Raw genomic sequence first — 19968 nt, 5'->3', positions numbered from 1 at the left:
CCTAATGGTGATGTGACAATGAAAGAAAGTCAGAGATTGGTCGGGAAGTCAAAAGGGTCCTGTATTTCTCCAGAATGTCACGATGAGTAATGAACAAAAGCCCACCCAGAGCTGTAAGGCCTGTTCTCAGCAGCAACACTCAGTTTGGAGGGACTGGAGGTCAGGGCTATTGTTTGGCTGAGCCTTTATTCCAGAAGACTGAGTAGGTGTCAGGAAATGAGGCTGGGCTCTTGAAGATGGGTGCTTTGAATCATGTTTTGTTACTTGAACAAAAATAATAGTAAGGAGCCCATTCATAAAAACAACATCATTTTCTTCAACAACATGTACTCTGTATCACTTCCCTTGTGAACGGAATAATTCTACGTCTGTGACAGAATCCCGGAAGACAGAACCATAGCAACACTGGCACATTCATTTCTTCTTATAACTGACAATACTGGACACACTTATGTGGGCTGGGGCCAAGCTGTGCACTGAGCACTCTATGAACACCACTTCATGTCATCCTCACAATAATCGGGTGCAGGAGACATTATTAATATTCACATCTTACAGCTGTAGCAACAGATGCATGGTGAGCCGACCAACCTGCTCAAAGGCTCACGGGAGCAAGGGGCAGAGCCTGCACTCTAACTAGGGACCATGTGGTGCCAGTCCTGAATCCACAACCCCCTTGCACTACCACCTCTTAAAGGGCTTCCCTTCAGGAAACTTGGCTGTTTTTCACAGACAGCAGCATCAGCTCCATTTGAGGATGAAGGAAACTTTGGCTGTTTAATTCCACCTTTTACCCCCAGTTTAGAAGGGGTCTCTCCTTCCTCTGAATTTCCTTAGTATGCTCTGTTTCTCTCTTAAGAAACATACCCTTTTCTCTGATGACACATATTTAGTTGGGGGCAGGTCTTTTTTCTCTGCCAGAATCCTAACTTTTTAAGGAAAAGATCTGTGTCTAATATAGCAGCATTTTGTACATATTATGAGATACTTATTAAAATAAGGAAATCCATAAACAAACCCCAAAACTATTATTGTATATTTACCATATGCCAGGTAATATTCTGTTTATTTTATTTATTTATGTTGTAGAGACGGGGGTCTCACCATACGCCCAGGCTGGTTTTGAACTCCTGAGCTCAAGTGATCTGCCTGCCTTGGCCTCCCAAAGTGTTGGGATTACAGGTGTGAGCCACCGTGCCTGGTTGTATTCTAACTGCTTTATATAAATTACCTCATTTAACCCCATAAGGATCTCTATGAGGTAGGTATAATTATTATCCCTGCTTGACACATGAGAAAATCACAGGCACAGATTGATTAATTTGTTACGCAGTGTTAGTCCGTTTGCACTGCTATAAAGGAATACCTGAGGCTGAATAATTTATGATGAAAAGAGGTTTATTTGGCTCACAGTTCTGCAGACTGTATAAGAAGCATGGCACTAGCATCTGCTTCTGGTGAGGCCTTAGGAAGCTTTTAGACATGGTAGAGGGAAAGGAGAGCCGGAATGTTGCATGGCAAGATGGAGAGCAAGTGTGAGAGGGAGAAGTGCCAGGTTCTTTTTAAACAACCAGGGCCAGGCACAGTGGCTGACGCCTGTAATCCCAGCACTTTGGGAGGCCAAGGCAGGCAGATCACCTGAGGTCAGGAGTTCAAGACAGCCTGGCCAACATGGTGAAACACCGTCTCTACTAAAAATACAAAAATTAGCTGGGCATGGTGGTGCACACATGTAGTCCCTTGCATTTTTTTTTTTTTTTTTTTTGAGATGGAGTCTCAGGCTGGAGTACAGTGGTGCAATCTCGGCTCACTGCAAGCTCCGCCTCCCAGGTTCACGCCATTCTCCTGCCTCAGCCTCCCGAGTAACTGGGACTACAGGCGCCCACCACCATGCCCGGCTAATTTTTTTGTATGCTTAGTAGAGATGGGGTTTCACCGTGTTAACCAGGATGGTCTCGATCTCCCGACCTCGTGATCCGCCCACCTTGGCCTCCCAAAGTGCTGGGATTACAGGCATGAGCCACCATGCCCGGCCAAAATAATTTTTTTTAATTAAAAAATAACCAGTTCTCACTTGAACTAACCGAACAAGAACTCACTCATTACAGCAGGGAGGGGATCACGCCATTCATGAGAGATCTGTACGCATAACCCACACACCTCCCACCAGGGCCCACTTCCAACACTGGGGTTCACATTTCAACATGACATCCAACAGCTATCCACCAATATAGTTAGACATCCAAACTATATCAGCTAGCAACTGACGGATATCTGTTGAAGGAGTATATGAATAAAGAAATTCTGGCCACCACTACCCACTTTCTAGTCCACACAGCTGCTGTACAGTGCAATCGCTCATCACCCATCAAAGGCAGGTTTCAGCTGTCATACCATTTCCAACTCACTTATTCACTGTGCCATGCAGTTAGAAGGTCCATGCTTTTTCTAGACAATTAATTGAGAAGTATATTGATTGAGATTTACGAATAAAAGTAGATTTTGTTTTCTTCCAATTATAATCATAATTGCTTATTGTAAAAAGATAAGAAAATACAGAAGAACAGGAAAAAAGAAAGGAGAACAATACATCGTCTCACCACAATCCTGGTGTAAGGCCCCAGAGAAGGAACCACACTTACACTTAAAACAATGTTCTTGGTCAAGCACGGTGGCTGACGCTTGTAATCCCAGCACTTTGGGAGGCTGAGGCGAGCAGGTCACTTGAGGTCAGGAGTTCGAGACCAGCCTGGCCAACATGGTGAAACCCTGTCTCTACTAAAAAAAACACAAAAAAATTAGCTGGGCGTGGTGGTGCACACCTGTAGTCCCAGCTACTCAGGAGGCTCCCAGCTACTCGGGAGGCTGAGGCAGGAGAATTGCTTGAACCTGGGAGGCAGAGGTTGCAGTGAGATGAGATCATGCCACAGCATTCCAGCCTGGGTGACAGAATGATAATCTGTCTCAAAAAAAAAACCACACACACATACACACAATGTTTTGAAATCAGAAACTTAAGTCATTTTTGGGGGATGGGGAATCAAACCCACAAAAGATGACTAAGACATTGCTCAACGTATTTTTTTGGTTTTGGAGTACACGTGGCTGCTTTTTCTTCAGGGTTCGATGTCCTGAGGATCCACTTTGTGGTCCCCTTTGGACTGCTGATTTGGTGTGTCTGAAGGAGAGCCAGAAGGAGAAGAGAAGCCTGACCCCAGTGATTATGTGGCTAGAAACTGGATAGGTTCGCAGGATATCACACTGTCCCCTCCCTGCCTTTTTTCAAACCACTTCCCACCAGCTTGAGATAAGTTTCCAACTACAGCTGTTTTGGGAGAGATGGACCTTCACTTAAACAGTGACCTTAACTTTAAACAGTCTTGGACTCATTGATTTTTGCAGCTGAAAGGAGCATGTGGTCTCCTCATTTTAGGGGTGAGGAATGCCAGATCCAGAGAAGGCAAGGGACTATCCTGAGGTAGTACAGCCTGGTGCTCCAACAGGAGAAGGTTTGAGGCTCTCACTTGCTACTCTCTATTGGTCTCAGACTCTCACTTGCTACTGCACTTTGACATACAAATTTGAAGGGCTCTTCCCTCTTATTTTGGTTAACTCCTACTCAGCCATCAGATTTCAGATTAAATATCACTTCCCTAGGGCGCCCTTTTCTCTGAGCCACGTTAGCTCCCCCTGCTGTACTGGTCTCATGGTACTCCTATGTCTCTTCTTATAACCCTTAACATATTTATAAGTACACGTTCCATGTGTTTCCCCACCAGACTGTAAGCTCCACAAAGTCAACAGTATGTCTCCTTGGTTCACTGAATACATCTATCCCAAGTGCCTAGAAGAGTGCCTGGCATAAAATAGGAAACTCAATAAATATTTTCTAAACACACACACACACACACACACACACACACACACACACACACTCTACTTAGTCCAGTCTATGGTAAAACATTAACATACTTTTTGTAAAAAGCACCACGTCTTCTGAACTACAAATTGGGCCTTTTTGCTGAAGGAAGGATCATTAGAGAACAAGGGATTTCATTTCAAATAATTTCCGGAAGATAGAAAAAGTTCAGAGAGGTATGACAACAGAAGCTGAAGTTTGGAGCACAAGGACAAGAAAGCACCATTGGAAATGAGAGACAAGGAATGGTGTGGGACCCCAGGGAGGCTCTGAACCTGAAGACAGCAGGCGTCGAGAAGATTCAGAAGGGCCAAAAAATTAAGGGATCCACTGAAGGTCCTGTGCCAGCCAGCTCCTCTATCCCATACCTGCAGCACACAGAGGGCCCAAAAGCTCTGCAGAACCACAGCCAAAGACAGGAGGCCTCTTTAAATAAATTGAATGAACTGCCTAGGATTGATCGAGGGCTTCTAGTAAGAGACTGGCCTCCTTATGCTAACACGTGAAGGGCCCTCAGTCTAACTGCTGCTCCTGCTCATGTGCCCTAAAGCATCTTCCACTTAGTACCTTAGTACCCTTCCAGTACCCAGCAGCTTCCCAGGCAGGGCAGAGGCCTATGGGACAAACAGATGAACTGAGACCTATCCCCTTAAAGAAGTCTTTTATTATTGATTGTGAATGGCCAAATAAAGCATGACAGGATGTCTGATCAAAACCAGCTGCATGACAGGAGTTTGAGACCAGCCTGGCCAACATGGCAAAACCCCATCTCTACTAAAAATACAAAAATTGGCTGGGCGTGGTGGCAGGTGCCTGTAATCTCAGCTACTCCGGAGGCAGAGGCAGGAGCATCGTTTGAACCCAGGATGCAGAAGTTGCAGTGAGCCGAGATCATGCCATTGCACTCCAGCGTGGGTGACGGCCAGCCTCCGTCTCAAAAATAAAAATACAAAAATTAGCCAGGCATGGTGGCGCATGCCTGTAATCCCAGCTACTTGGGAGGCTGAGGCAGGAGAACTACTTGAACCTTGGGAGGTGGAGGTTGCAGTGAGCTGAGATGGTGCCACTGCACTCCAGCCTGGGCAATAGAGCGAGACTGTCTCAAAAACAAACAAAAAACTGATGAGTCAAGAAAAAGCAGTATGGTAATGTGAGGTCCTTGTTTGGATCTGACTAGAACTAAAAAAATAACTTATGAGTTAAATGGAGACCACTGCTAATAATAAAGGATTATTAATTATTTTATGTGTGATAGTGTGGTTATATTTTTAAAAGGAGTCCTTATTCTCTTAAAAGTACATGCTAGGCTGGGCACGGTAGCTCACGCCTGTAATCTCAACACTTTGGGAGGCCAAGGCAGGTAGATCACCTGAGGTCAGGAGTTCGAGACCAGCCTAATATGGTGAAACCCTGTCTCTACTAAAAATAAAAAAATTAGCTGGGCATGGTGGCGTGTGCCTGTAGTCCCACCTGCCTGGGAGGCTGAGACAGGAGAACTGCTTGAACCAGGGAGGTGGAGGTAGCAGTGAGCCAAGATCGTACCACTGCACTCCAGCCTGGGTGACAGGCGACATTGCAAAAACAAAAACAAAAACAAAAACAAAAACAAAAAAAACATGCTGAAGTAATTACTGATAAAATGATGTCTAGAATTTACTCCAAAATAATCTAGTGGCAGGGGAAAATGGCTACCAGCACAGATGAAACAAAACTGGTCATGGGTTTTTGATTTTTGAAGCCGGGTAATGGGTGGTACATGAGGATTCATTATACTATTCTTTCTAGTTTTGTACATGTTTCAAAATTTCTGTAATACAGTTAAAAAAAACCATATCTCGATAAGCATATTATTTAGATATAGAGAGATAAATGCTAGATCAAACGCCTAAAAGGATCAAAAGTGTATGCCCTTGGGAGCAGGATAGGAGGAAGGGTAAAGAAAGGGTGGGGGCAGGGAACAGATGGTTTTTATTACAAATCTTTTATGATATTTGACCTTAAAAAGACTAAGGCAAACTATGTGCATGTACCTTTCTGACAAAAACAAAATTCATTTAAAAAAGGAAATGGGAGTAACATTATTTAGAGAAATAGAAGTAACCACCAAAAGAAGTAAAAGCAGAAAAATAAAATGGCTGCCTCAGGGTGAGGGGTAAGCAGGAGACAGATGCCTTTCTAGACTCAGAGACTTTTTAAAAAGTCATATTCATGTATTACTTGGATTTTTTAAAGTTAGCTATTATTATCAGTTGCTACTATCAGTTACTAGCAGGGCCTTTTGCTAATCTCTACATCTATAAACTGAATACTTCCTTAGGTTTAGAATCCTAAATCACCCAGAGTGAATATATCCACATTAAGTGTAATAATAACAATTATTGCTATTCAACTATTGTTTGCCATTTGTCAGTGCTTTACATATGTTATTTCTAATCCTTCTAACACTCCTGCAAGGCAAGTATAGATGTTCCCATTTTACAGATGAAAAGGTTGAGGCTGAGAGACATTAGCCACTTGCTTGAGGTCACAGTGTGGGCGAGGCCTGTGAGACTCAAACACCAAGCTCCTTCCATTACCCTACTTCTCCTTTGCATTCCATTTGTTCGGTATAGTCCAGAAAGTACCTTTACATAAATTTTCTCATCAACCCCAAGAAACAGGAGGGACATGACTATCTTTACTTGACAAATGAAGAAATCAAAGCTAGGAAAAGTTACGTAACTTGCGCAAGAATCCAGGCTCCTGATCCTTAATCTAGTACTCCTTCTACCATTCCTTATGTCCTCTCAACAACAAAATGTTAAATTAGTCATAATCTCCTCATAGGCATTTGACATAAGAGTCACTGCACATGAATGCAGCAATGCAGCTAAAGCAGGAATTTTAAAGAGAGAGAGAGGGGGAGACATTTTTTCCAAAGGAAATATACTAATAAACTATGGACTGTCCTCAGTTGCTCTAATGACAGCATGTTGCTGGAGTCCTCAAAGGGACTCTTGAAATGTCAGCAGCCTGCCTGCCTGGCACAGAGCAGATGAGTTGCTGGCACAGGCAGCCTGCAGCAGTTCTGACAACCAGTGCCACTCTACTTAGTTCCAAAGAAAGAAATGAGCCATGCGTGCCTCTGCCCTGAAAAAAGAACTTCTGTGCTTCCTAAATCTACTTCAGTCAACAGCCATGGGGCCCCAGGGCTTTTTAATAGTTGCCAGGAATCTTCTTAGATCAGCGCTACTCATCAGAGCAGAGGCATGTTTATGAAACTGTACATCAGGTTGCATAGGGGTGGGAGCCAAACGTGGGATAACTAAAGAGGGTGAACATGTGACCCTTGGTCATCTCAAGTCAGGGTAGCTGAAGCTCTCCCCACAAGAGAAGCAGCCCAAAATTTGGGCACAAGAGCCTTGAGCTTGGTGTGAGATGCTCCTCAGTCTGTGCTGGCATCTGAACAATGGCCAAGCAGCAGTTAGGGAGAAGAGGCTGTTTACTTGAGTTCAAACTATTTATAGCCCAGCAATCTGCACATATTTGGATGACAAATCTCTGGGCTTCAAGTAAGTGGTGCTTTGCTCCTGGACAATTTCATCAAACACACTCCCTCCCCACGCCACCCCCAGTCCCCCTCACTAACACATGTTGCCCTCAGGATGTTTTATTTAAGTTGCTGAATTTTAAAAGATTATAAAAAGAAACCACATTTTAAGAGCAAGTGACTTTTAATCCATTTATTTCCAAGTTTGAACTACATATTTTCTTTAAGGCTTGAATCAGAAATTAAATTATAATACATGTATATTCTATAAAAATATATATTTGCCCCATACATGAACAAAACAGTAACTGAGTGATGTCTATAATTTAACACGTATATTGACCTGGCGTGGTGGCTCACGCCTGTAATCCCAGCACTTTGGGAGTCTGAGGTGGGTGGATCACTTGAGGTCAGGAGTTGGAGACCAGCCTGACCAACATGGTGAAACCCTGTGTCTACTAAAAACACAAAAAAATTAGCCGGGTGTGGTGGTGGGCACCTGTAATCCCGGCTACTGGGGAGGCTGAGGCAGGAGAATTGCTTGAACCCGGGAGGCAGAGGTTGTAATGAGCTGAGATTGTGCCACTGCACCCCAGCCTGGGCAACAGAGCGAGACTCCGTCTCAAAACAAACAAACAAAAACATGTATATTGTCGTAAAGATGCTGAGGCCTGCTCAAGCCCTACAAAGAGAACGTTTCTACGATGATTAAAGGCTTTCAGAACAGATCCACAATATGTAATCATATACACGTTACAAACAAGAGGTCTTATTACCTGTGGAAGCAATGGTAGTGTACAGTGTTCACCAATGCCCATTGCCCCCATTGCATGCCATACAGGAAAAAGGCTCAACTGTAACAAACATATGTGCAGAGCCTTCTGCACAGTTTTAACTCACAGAACGTGTTACAGCCTTAACAATGAATTTGTTTGGAAAAACCAGTCTACCCTAAAAGCTGCCTTGTTTTTATAGCAAAAGCATTGCTGTTCTGAATCTTGCATCTCCCCTGACCCAGGCACTGCCTAATTCTAAAGACGAAAAAGTGCTTGTTAGTTAACATGCATGTTGGCAGCTTCCAGTCCTACAATGTAGGCAGGATGTGGTGTAAAGAAAAAGGCCAGTAAAGTGAAGACAACGGTTTATAGTATAATGGATGATGGTAGACAATTAACACAGGGAGAGGAAATAGAAGAGATTCCTAAAAGGGACTTACACATTTTCTTATCTTTTCCCTCTGCCAGTAAAGCTCATTAGAAGGTCCCTAAGACAATCTTTGAACAACCCCACTTTTTTTTTACATTAGGAAAAAAGTTCTGGTAATGGTAAAGAAAAAGAGGCATGTCTATACATAGAATGCAAATTATTTAAAAATTTTTTCAGGTCATTTTGTCATTATTATTATTATTATTATTATTATTTGAGTCTCTCTATCGCATAGGCTGTAGTGAGAGCACGATCTCAGCTCACTGCAACCTCCGCCTCCTGGGTTTAAGCAATTCTCCTGCCTCAGCCTCCCAAGTAGCTGGGATTACAGGCCTGCACCACCACATCCGGTTAATTTTTGTATTTTTAGTATAGACGGGGTTTCACCATGTTGGCCAGGCTGGTCTCGAACTCCTGGCTTCAAGTGATCCACTCGCCTCGGCCTCCCAAAGTGCTGGAATTACAGGCGTGAGCCACGGTGCCTGGCCTAATGCATGTAATGTTTGATCCCATGTTTTTATTTCTAGGAATTTTTGAATTATAAAACTATCCTTATCACTGAGACCTTAGCTGAGATGTCACTTCTTCAGAAAAACTTTCCCAAGCCACCCAACCTAAAATAACCACCCATCTACCTATCATGTCACTTTCTGTTAAGCGTCCATACAGCACCACTTTTTTTTGTTGTTCATTCATTTCTTTACTGCCTTTCACTGCTGCCTCCTCCTGTCCCACATTAAAATATCAGTTCTATGAGATGAGGGGCCTGGTCTGTCTTGGACACCATTCTTCCTAGGTGCTGCACACTAGCCAGGGACATTGCAGCAGCATCTCATTTAATCTTCACAGCCATATGAGGCTTCTGTTATCCTTCCATTTTAGAGATAGGTAAACTGATGTACAGTTTCATTTTAGTGAGTGGCCAGTAAGTGGCAGTCAGAATCTAAATACTGGTATGTATGACGACAAAGTCCACACTCTAAACTACCTCCCTCAGGATGATACAAAAGTTTAAATAGTTTAAATGTGCACACTTTTTAAACCAAACCATCCTAGTTGTGGAAATGTATTAAATGGAGATGATCACACAAGAACACATAATTAGATACATCTTATTTATTGCATACAACTTATCATAGGAAATACTGGAAATGTTTAGGCAAGTCACCAGTTAGCCATAAGGTTCAAGTTTACGTTTTGGTAAACAAGGGCCCCCATCTCAGACACTATGAGGATTTAATGAGACTATGCATAGTACCTGGCTCACAGTCCATGTTTTGTTGTTACTGATATATTTATTGATTCATTCGAGACAGGGTCTTGCACTGTAACTCAGGCAGGAGTGCAGTGATATCATCATAGCTCGCTGTAACCTCAAACTCCTAGTCTCAAGTGATTCTCCCACAACTCAGCCTCTGGAATAACTAGGACTACAGGCATGCACCACCATTCCTGGCTAATTTTTTTCATTTCCTGTGGAGACAGGGTCTCACTGTGTCGCCAGGCTGGTCTCAAACTTCTGGTCTCAAGTAATCCTCATGCCTTGGCCTCCCACAGTGCTGGGATTACAGGCGTGAGCCACTGAGCCCAGCCTACATTTAAATCTCTAAAAGGATATACAATACACCAAATTGTATATCTCTGGACAGCAGGATTACACGGGGAGTGTGCGATATGGCAAGGCTCACACCTGTAATCCCAGCTACTTGGGAGGCTGAAGCAGGAGAATCTCTTGAACTCGGGAGGCCGAGGTTGCAGTGAGCCGAGATCGCGCCACTGCACTGCAGCCTGGGCAACAAGAGTAAAACTCCACCTCAAAAAAAAATAAATAAAATGACAAAATAAAATAACAAAAAAAATAAAAATTACATGTTTATGTATATTTTATTTACAGTTTTGGAAGTAACCACCACAATTACAAAAAAGCATTAAAGTAAAAAACAAACCGCTTTCAGAAGGCCTGGCTAAAGCAAGTGGGGATTTTTTTTACTTTCATCGCTATATCTTTCTGTTCTGAATGTTTATTTTTGTGTCTATGTATTAGTTTTATAATTTTTGTTAAATTGGCCAAAGAAGGAAGGTTGGTGGAACTGTGTGATCACTAACCACAATAAATAATAATGGACTGAATAATGTAAATATAAATTTCAGGAGAGAGAAAATTTAGTCTTAGCTTGACTGGAATAGGTATTCTACTAGACATGTGCCTTATCAAAGATTTCTTTTAAATGATATTTCTCAGTGTTGCAGAGATATGAGAAAATGTAGGTGAAAATGGAAAACGGTACAACATTCCTAAAGGGCAATTTGACGATATGTGCTGAAATCCTTAAAAATGTAGGGGGGACATGGGACCTCTCTGTACTTGCTGTGCAGTTTCACTGGGAACCTACAACTGGTCTAAAAAATAAAGTTTCTTAATTAAAAAATGTAAATGCTCTCTGACCCACTCATCTTACATCTAAGAATCTATCCAAGAGAAACCACTATAGATGTGTGTGCAAAGACTTGACTTAAAGTTGTTCACTTCAGCACTGTTCAGAAAACTGTAAAACTGAAAATCCTTAAAGTCCACTATTAGGCAGTGGTTAAATAAACTTTGGTAAATCTACAGAATGGAATATTACACAGTCACAATAAATGATACTATCGAAGAATATCTGATGACATTAAAAAAAATAGTCACATAAGAGCCAGGTGCAGTGGCTCACGACTGTAATCCCAGCAATTTGGGAGGCTGAGGCAGGTGGATCACAAGGTCAGGAGTTCAAGACCAGCCTGGCCAAGATGGTGAAACGCCGTCTCTACTAAAATTACAAAAATTAGCCAGGCGCGGTGGCAGGTGCCTGTAATCTCAGCTACTCGTGAGGCTGAGGCAGGAGAATCACTTGAAACCAGGCGGCAGAGGTTGTGCCACTGTACCCCAGCCCAGGCGACAGAGTAAGACTTTGTCTCAAAAAAAAAAAAGTCTCACTTTAATGTTAAGGTGAGCCCCTATATGTAGAAGGGGCTCATGTCTGTAAAACGGAAAGTAGAAAAAAATGGAAGAAACTATTAATCAGTAGCATATCAGGATGATGACACTGTGGGTAATTTTTATTTTCTTATTGGTATTTTAAATTTTTTCTATAAAATAGTATTTTACACTAAAATATAGCATTACTTCTACAAAAAGAAAAAATACGAAAAGTTATTTTTAAGTTCCTTTGGAAAATACATACCAAGTGCTACAAAATGTGCATACACTGACTTATAAATGAGAGAGACATTTATATCAGAGTTATTTATTTATTTATTTTCAGACAGGGTCTCATTCTGTCACCCAGGCTCGAGTGCAGTGGCATGATCATGGTGCAGCCTCGACCTCCCAGACTCAGGTGATCCTCCCACTTCAGCTTCCTGAATAGCTGGGACTACAGGCATGCGCCACCATGCCTAGCTCATTTTGTATTTTTTTTGTGAGACGGGGGTTCACCATGTTGCCCAGGCTGATCTCAAACACCTGGGCTCAGGCGATCTGCCAGCCTCAGCCTCCCAAAGTGCTGGGATTACAGGCAGAGTTATTTATAATAGTGAAATAATAGAAATAATCAAAATATCAAACACATTGTCTGGCCATTAAAAATGGTGAAGAGAGACATAAGCCACACTCTGTCAGCCGGGAACAGTCTCAGTCTCTAGGGCCCTGCTCCTGTTCTTAATCCTGGGCCTGGCCCAGAAGGTGTGCTGCCCAGCCTGTGCCCGGCACTGGAAGGTGCACAAGAAACACAAGCTGGACAACCTCAATGAGGAGTAGCTAGAAAAGCCGTTGAAGGTACACTGAAAGTGGGAAGAAATGAGCTCTAAGCTCTGTTCAGGGACCTCAGCCTTGAGTTACGCCACCTGATGATAGGAATGGCCAAGATGAGTATGAGGATAAAGGAAAAGGAGAAGGAAAGGAGCAAAGTAGATAGCTGAAGAAAAGGAAAATAAAATAGGAGAAGAAAAATTAGGAGTTTTAGAACAGCGAGATGAAAATGAAGCAGGATTCCAAAAGGTAGAAATGCCCTGAGCAGCCTCTGAGCTCCTGAGCCAGGAGAGCCCTCCTTCAAGGAGCTTTGGTGAGACAATCACAGAGACTGAGTTCTTACGGGGCTGACCTTGCAGGATATCTGGTAGCCAGACCCTAGGGTCACAGGTGCTGCGCAATGGCAGGAATAGGGTTTTCTCTAGGGAAGTCTCATGGTGTAGTTAGATGGCTTTCCCCAGCCTGCATTTCATTTGCTGCTTAACTGCCATCTAGGTAGCACTAGGATCTGTTATCTGGCCCTCTATAAGATTCTGTAAGATCCCTACTTTTTTTTAAGAAATGCTTTTCTGCTTAAACCAGCTGGAGCAGACACTTATTGTTAGTAGCACCTGAGAATCCTGACAGATTGAGTAATGGAAACCAGAAGGGAATGCAGACAAAACTCCTAAGGAAATGAAACAGATCTTGGATAATTCATGAATGGAACATGCCTATTCATGTACCTATGGGTTACAACTGATTTGTGGAACATGAAATCAATTTAGTAGACTGGGACTAGCATATTTTTATTTTTATTTATTTATTTAGAGACAGTCTTGGTCTGTCACCCAGGCTGAAGTACAGTAGTACAATCTTGGCTCACTGTAACCTCTACCTTCTGGGTTCAAGCAATTCTCCTGCCAAAGCCTCCCGAGTAGCTGGGATTACAAGTGTGCACCACCACATCCAGCTAATTTTTGTATTTTTAGTAGAGACGGGATTTCGCCATGTTGGCCAGGCTGGTCTCGAACCCCTGGCCTTAAGTGATCTGCCTGCCTCGGCCTCCCAAAGTGCTGGAATTACAGGCATGAGCCACCATGCCCAGCTGGGACTAGCATACTTTTCAAAACATGAAACGGTATAGAATAGAATGAAAAGAAGAAAATGTTTCATTTACATATAATATATGATATGCATGCATGAGTCATAATATAAATTGTGCATCTTATTTTCAAAGTCAAAAAGTTTGAAAGAAACTGATTTACCTCACCTGCTGGACTTAAAAGGCAGAGAGAATTTAATAAGCATTACAACAGCGGCTAGTAAACTTTTTCTGCTTTTTCTGTAAGTGGATAGACAGTAAGTACTTCAGGCTTTGTGGTCTCTGTGGTAACTACTCAACTCTGCCACTATAGTGCAAAAGCAGCCACACACAATGTGTAAACAAAATGAACATAGCTGTATTCCAATAAAACTAATTATTTACAAAAACAAGTGGCAGGCTGGATTTTGCCTGCAGGCCATAGTTTCCCAATCTCTGTCTTAGAGAATGAGATGCGGGTAGTTAGTGGCATGCAATGTTGTAAGAGTTTTAAAATAATCACCTATTGGCTGGGTGTGGTGGCTCACGCCTGTAATCCCAGTGCTTTGGGAGGCCAAGGTGGGCAGATCACCTGAGGTCAGGAGTTCGAGACCAGCCTAGCCAACATGGTGAAACCCCATCTCTACAAAAATACAAAAATTAGCCGAGCATGAAGGCGGGTGCCTATAATCCCAGCTACGCGAGAGGCTGAGGAGGGAGAATTGCTTGAACCCGGGAGGCGGAGGTTGTAGTGAGCCGAGATCGTGCCACTGCACTCCAGCCTGGGCGACAGAGCAATACTCTGTCTCTAAATAAATAATAAAATAATCACCTATGATTGCCTGAGGTAAAGTCCATATTAAAGTCAGGGCTATTTCAAACCCAGTAGTAGTTGCTATAGACCAATGAAGGGCATGAAGGATATAAAGATTATGAATGGGCTAACTGCATCTAACTGCACTAGAAAACGTAAAGAAAATTATAAGCCCATGTTCTAGGACTGTTATGGGACAGTTTCTGATGTCCAGTATCTGATGTCACCAGTGCTGGTAAAGGCAGCAGTGGTGTTTTCTCTAGAAGAGTCCCCCTTAGTGGGGTTGACCATTTCTCATGGAAATATTGTCTGTGATTGCTTCACTTTCATCTGTGTAACATCCAAGCACAGATGTTAAAACTACCTTTCTGCTTATGCCAACTACAGTGAATTTTGTTGTTTGCTACTAAGAATCCTGACCAATACATGCCCCCAATAACACTTCTATTATAGTTCACAGCACTGTACATTATAACTACTTGTTATATTCTATCTCCCTTAGTAGATGGAAAATTTTATATTTTATTCAACTCTATAGTCCCAGCACTAGCAGAAGGCCTGACAAACAGAAGGCGCTTAATAAATGAACATAAGTAGACATTAGAAAAAAACCCACTAACACACAAAACCTATTGCTTTAGTTAGAATGGTGAGAAAGGTAATTTTTAAGTGATGCTTTAAAATATTTTCATAAGCGCCCAGGTCAAAGTTGGTATCATTCATCCAAGAACAAGTAGCATAGTAGTATTCGTATCAAGGTCAACACGTCCTAATGAAGAAAAAGAATTGCTGATTTTCTTTATTTTTATTAATGATTTTTACTGGTTGTTCAAAGGACTTATCTTAGACTAAGCCTCAAAGGTCTGAGAGGTTTATACATGTCTGGAACAATGATAGGAATGTGAAATCATGATCATGAAGGTCTGTTTTCTCCTATATTCACAGCCTATCTTATAATATAATAAATGAATGGAGTGTTATAGAAAGTTACAGAAAGACCACTGCCTGAGATGGACTTGGGATCAAACAACAAAACAAGAAAGGAGAGCCCTCCAAAACTGATCCTAGAAATAATGGCTAAAGCCGGGAACACCTGTAGTCCCAGATACTCAAGAGGCTGAGGCAGGAGGCTTGAGCCCAGGAGCTCTGATTCTCGCTGTGGAAAACACAGCAAGACCCCATCTCTAAAAAAAATAATAATAACAACGGCTAGAATTCACAGTAACTCAACACTATATCACAATTTAGAGAGAGCTTATACATAAAATGAAGCTGTGTCCTTTCATGACATCAGAAAAAAAAAACACTAAAATAGTACAAAAACGAGATCAAAATCATAACATGTCATGAGGCCAGTGATACCACGGTAGCAGAAAGTCTTAGGAAATGAGAAGGAACAGTGAAAAAGGATTCAGTTTAAAACAATTTTTCCCACCTGCTGTAGAGGAGAGGCAGTTTTGACTTCAGATGCTCATTCCAATTCCTTTGGGTGAAAAGAGAGTAATTCCTCACAATCCCATACCCTAAGAGATGATCAAGATACTTTACCAGAGCCCCCTTCTCCACAGTCAAAATTAATCTCTCCATCTGACTGAGAAAAGCGAGGTTAATAAGTAGTCTTTTACCTCACCCCAAAAATAGCTCCTGGAGGATCCACAAATCCAAATGTAAAAATATGAAACCATAAAAGCACTGGAAAAACACATGGCATATTTTATGACCTCACAATGGAGAAGGTATTTCCAAGTACTATGATATAAAATCCAGAAGTCATTAAAGGAAATATTAATAAATTTGACTATGTATAAAAATATTCTGCATGGCAAAAAGCATGATCAGCAAAATAAAAATCAAATGTCAGGCTAGAGGAAATTATATTTCCTATCAATATAAATAGCTTATTTCCTTAACCCATAAAGAGATTTTAGAAACTGGTAAGACAGACAGCCAGGTGCAGTGGCTCATGCCTGTAATCCCAGCACTTTGGGAGGCTGAGGTGGAAGGATCACGTGAGTCCAGGAGTTTTAGACCAGTCTGGGCAACACAGTAAGACCTCATCTCTACAAAAAAATACAAAAATTAGCAAGGTGTGGTGGCATGTGCCTGTAGTCACAGCCACTCAGGAGGCTGCGGTAGGAGGATCGCTTGAGCCCAGGAGGCTGAGGCTACAATGAGCTATGATTATGCCACTGTACTCTAGCCTGGGCAAGAGAGCAAGATCCTGTCTCAGAAAAAAGAAAAACAAGAAATTGACACGACAAAGATCAACAAGCCAAGGGCTTGATTCCAAGCCCTCCTATGAGTCTTCCCAGCTGGGAACCTAGACAAAAACAGAAACAAACCATCCTTGTTGTGCCCAGTCCAAACTTCCGACCCACAGAATCTCTGGAAAAAAAAAAAATCAGTTGTTCTAAGCCACAAAACTTTGGTAGTTTGTTATACTACAATAATAAGTAAAATATTGGATTGTGCTCTGCTAATATATAGTTGGGAATTTTTCATAGTAAAATGTAGAAATTTTCCTGAGTAAAAGGGCTTATGATTTTTCCTTTCTCATAATGTCACTGTCAGGTTTTTTGTTTTGCTAATCTCTTTCTATTCTCAGGAAGCATTTGTGTAATATTAATTCTTTCTCTTAAGTGCTTGGTAGACTCCTAGTGATGGGCTAGTAGTCTTCTTTAAGGGAAGAGTTTAACTGCTGATTCCATTTGGTTTCTGTTTTTTTTTAAATGGAGTCTCATTCTTTCAACCAGACTGGAGTGCAATGGCACGATCTCCACTCACTGCAACCTCCGCCTCCTGGGTTCAAGCGATTCTCCTGCTTCAGTCTCCCAAGCAGCTGGCACAGGCCACCACGCCCAGCTAATTTTTGTATTTTTAGTAGAGATGGGGTTTCGCCATGTTGGCCAGACTGGTCTCGAACTTCTGACCTTAGGTGATCCTCCTGCCTTGGCCTCCCAAAGTGGTGGGATTACAGGCGTGAGCCACCATGCCCAGATGACTCCATTTTTATTAATAGTTATATTACTAATAAATTTATCCATTCATCTAAATTTTCAAAATTTTGGTTTAAAATTATTCATAGTATTCATAGTATCATTATTTTGTTAATGAGTATACTATCTCCCTTTTTCACTCTTTTTTTTTAAGCACTCTTTTTTTTTTTTTTTTTTTGAGACAGGGTCTCACTGTGTCCCCTAGGCTGGAGTGCAGTGGCACGATCTAGGCTCACTGCAGCCTCCCCCTCCAAGACTCAAGCCATCCTCCCACCTCAGCATCCTGAGTGGCTGGGACTACAGGCACACACCACCACACCTGGCTAATTTTTGTAGAGATGGCGTTTGGCCATGTTGCCCAGGCTGGTCTCAAACTCCGGAGCTCAAGTGATTTGCCCGCCTCGGTCCCCCAAAGTACTGGGATTAAAGGCTGGGCCCAGCCCCCTCTTTTTCATTCTTGATTTTGGTTATTTGTGCTCCTTTCTTTATTTCTGTCTTCCTTTTCTTGATCAACCTAATCAGAGTATTATCATTTTTATTAATCTTTTCTAAGAATCATACTTTGGCTTCATTGATTTTCCCTGCTATACATTTGCTTTATACTTCATAACTTCTACTCTTTTCATTCTTTCTTTCCCTTTATTTTCTTTCTTTTAGAGACAGGGTAGGTGGGGTCTCACTATGCTGCCCAGGCTGGCCTCCAACTCAAGCAATCTTCCCATTGCAGCCTTCCAAGCAGCTTGGACTACAGGCATGCACCACCATGCCTAGCTTCTCTTTATCTTCTTCAGAATTATTTTGCTGTGTTTTCTCTGACTTACAAAATGTGATCTGACTTACAAGATGGATGCTTGCTCAGTTTTTAGCTTTTAGCTTTTCTTTAAGGCTATACACTTTTGAATCTGCAAATTCATCTTTCTGCAGTTCTAGAAAATGATCATCAATTATCTCTTCAAATATTGCTTCTGCACCATTCTTGCTCCACTCATTTTGTAATTCTAATTAAATGTATATTAAAGCTGGGCGCAGTCCCACCTATTTACCTGAGGTGGGAGGATCACTTGAGGCCAGAAGTTTGAGGCCACAGTGTGCCATGATCTCACCTGGGAATAGCCACTGCACTTCAGCCTGGACACTGCAGCAAGAAAAAACTTGAAAAAAAAATTTTTTTAAATGCATATTAGAACTTGTCACTGGATCGTTTTAATTCTCTAATCATCTTTTCTATATTTTACATTTTTTAAATCTCTTGAAGGTTTATTCTGGAGAATTTTCTTCTATCTTCTAGTTCACTAGTTCTCTCTTGCTAGGTAATCTACTTTAAATACATCCACTGCATTCTTGTTTTTGATTATTATATGTTTTGGTTCTAGAATGTCTATTTGGATTTTTTCAAATCTGCTGTCACTTTTGACAGTGTCTACTTACTGACTTTTTTTTTTTGAGACGGAGTCTCGCACTGTCACCCAGGCTGGAATACACTGGTGCGATCTCGGCTCACTGCAACTTCTGCCTCCCGGGTTCAAGCGATTCTCCTGCCTCAGCCTCTCAAGTAGCTGAGATCACAGGCGCCCGCCACCACATCCAGCTAATTTTTTGTATTTTTAGTAGAGATGGGGTTTCACTATGTTGGTCAGGCTGGTCTTGAATTCCTGACCTGGTGATCCACCTGCCTAGGCCTCCCAAAGGGCTGGGATTACAGGCGTGAGCCATCACACCCGGCCCATTGTGACGTTTTTATCTTGGCTTCTATTTCTTTTTGCATAGTAAATACAGTGTTTTACATTCTGCATCTGAAATTCCAGTATCTCATGGCTTTGATACTTTTGTTGTATATGGCTTTTGCTAATTCTTTTCATGGTATCTTATTTCTTTGTGAACCTGGTTTTAATCCCATGTGCTAGTGATTACATAAAAAATTATTTAGAGGACTATTTTGATGTCCGGGATGATAACATCTTCCTCGAGAGAAAATTTGCATTTGCTTCTGCCAGCTGCCTGATGGCATTATTACTTGAGAACCATAATGATGAAAGATCTTGGTCTACATTCCCTACACCTAGAAGCTTGGTGGCAAGGCTATTGTGAGGGTTGGCTTAGTTCAAGTTCCCTCTTATGCCCTTAGGGGTTCCATTCAAACTAAAAAAGTGGTTTATCTGATTCCCCATCCTTGACGGACAACAAGCTAAGAATTCTGTCCTCATATATGAAGACACCAAAAATACAGCTTAACCTAAAAAATGCTTTCTCGGGATCAGCAAATGCTTCCAGAACAAAAATGGCTTTGGTAGCTATGCTTACCTGATAAATACTGAAACTCTATACCTCAGAAACTTGGACTTCCCTTTTCACCTGGTGTGACACTTTGTGGCTTTTGCTGAATATATGGCCATAAATAACTTTGTATCTTGTAAGTTAAAAGCCAGTTCACTTTGTAGATGGGAGTGTAAACCAGTGAAAGCTTCTAAGCATGAATTACAATATACATCACAATGGTATTTATTTATTTATTTATTTATTTATTTATTTAGAGACAAGGTCTGGCTCTATCACCTAGGCTCCTGTGCAGTGGCACAATCTCTGGTCACTGCAACCTCCGCCTCCCCAGCTCAAACCATCCTCCCACCTCAGCCTCCTGAGTAGCTGGAACTACA

The 19968-nt window shown here is 41.9% G+C and overlaps 1 protein-coding gene across 9 annotated transcripts in view, besides 1 other annotated feature; it reads right to left on the bottom strand.

Annotated features, from left to right (window-relative positions):
* PKIG (cAMP-dependent protein kinase inhibitor gamma) overlaps positions 1–19968 on the bottom strand; it is an 87163-nt gene that overhangs the window by 38944 nt on the left and 28251 nt on the right. For 2 of the 9 annotated variants that reach the window (XM_047439849.1, XM_017027616.2), the window contains exon 1: positions 15754–15903. The exons of the other annotated variants lie outside the window; for them this stretch is intronic. The gene's annotated coding sequence lies outside the window, so the exon portion shown is untranslated. Of the gene's footprint in view, positions 1–15753; positions 15904–19968 lie in introns of those variants that run through there. 9 annotated transcript variants of the gene reach the window in all.
* Positions 435–574: an enhancer, noted in NCBI's record as "active region_17927". NCBI's record gives its function as "activates an Ori minimal core promoter by ATAC-STARR-seq in GM12878 lymphoblastoid cells {active_cell/tissue: GM12878}" and the evidence as "EXISTENCE:reporter gene assay evidence [ECO:0000049][PMID:35858748]".

The sequence above is a fragment of the Homo sapiens genome, chromosome 20, assembly GCF_000001405.40.
Source record: "Homo sapiens chromosome 20, GRCh38.p14 Primary Assembly".
Taxonomy (NCBI): domain Eukaryota; kingdom Metazoa; phylum Chordata; class Mammalia; order Primates; family Hominidae; genus Homo; species Homo sapiens.
This window is presented reverse-complemented; position numbering and strand designations above follow the sequence as displayed.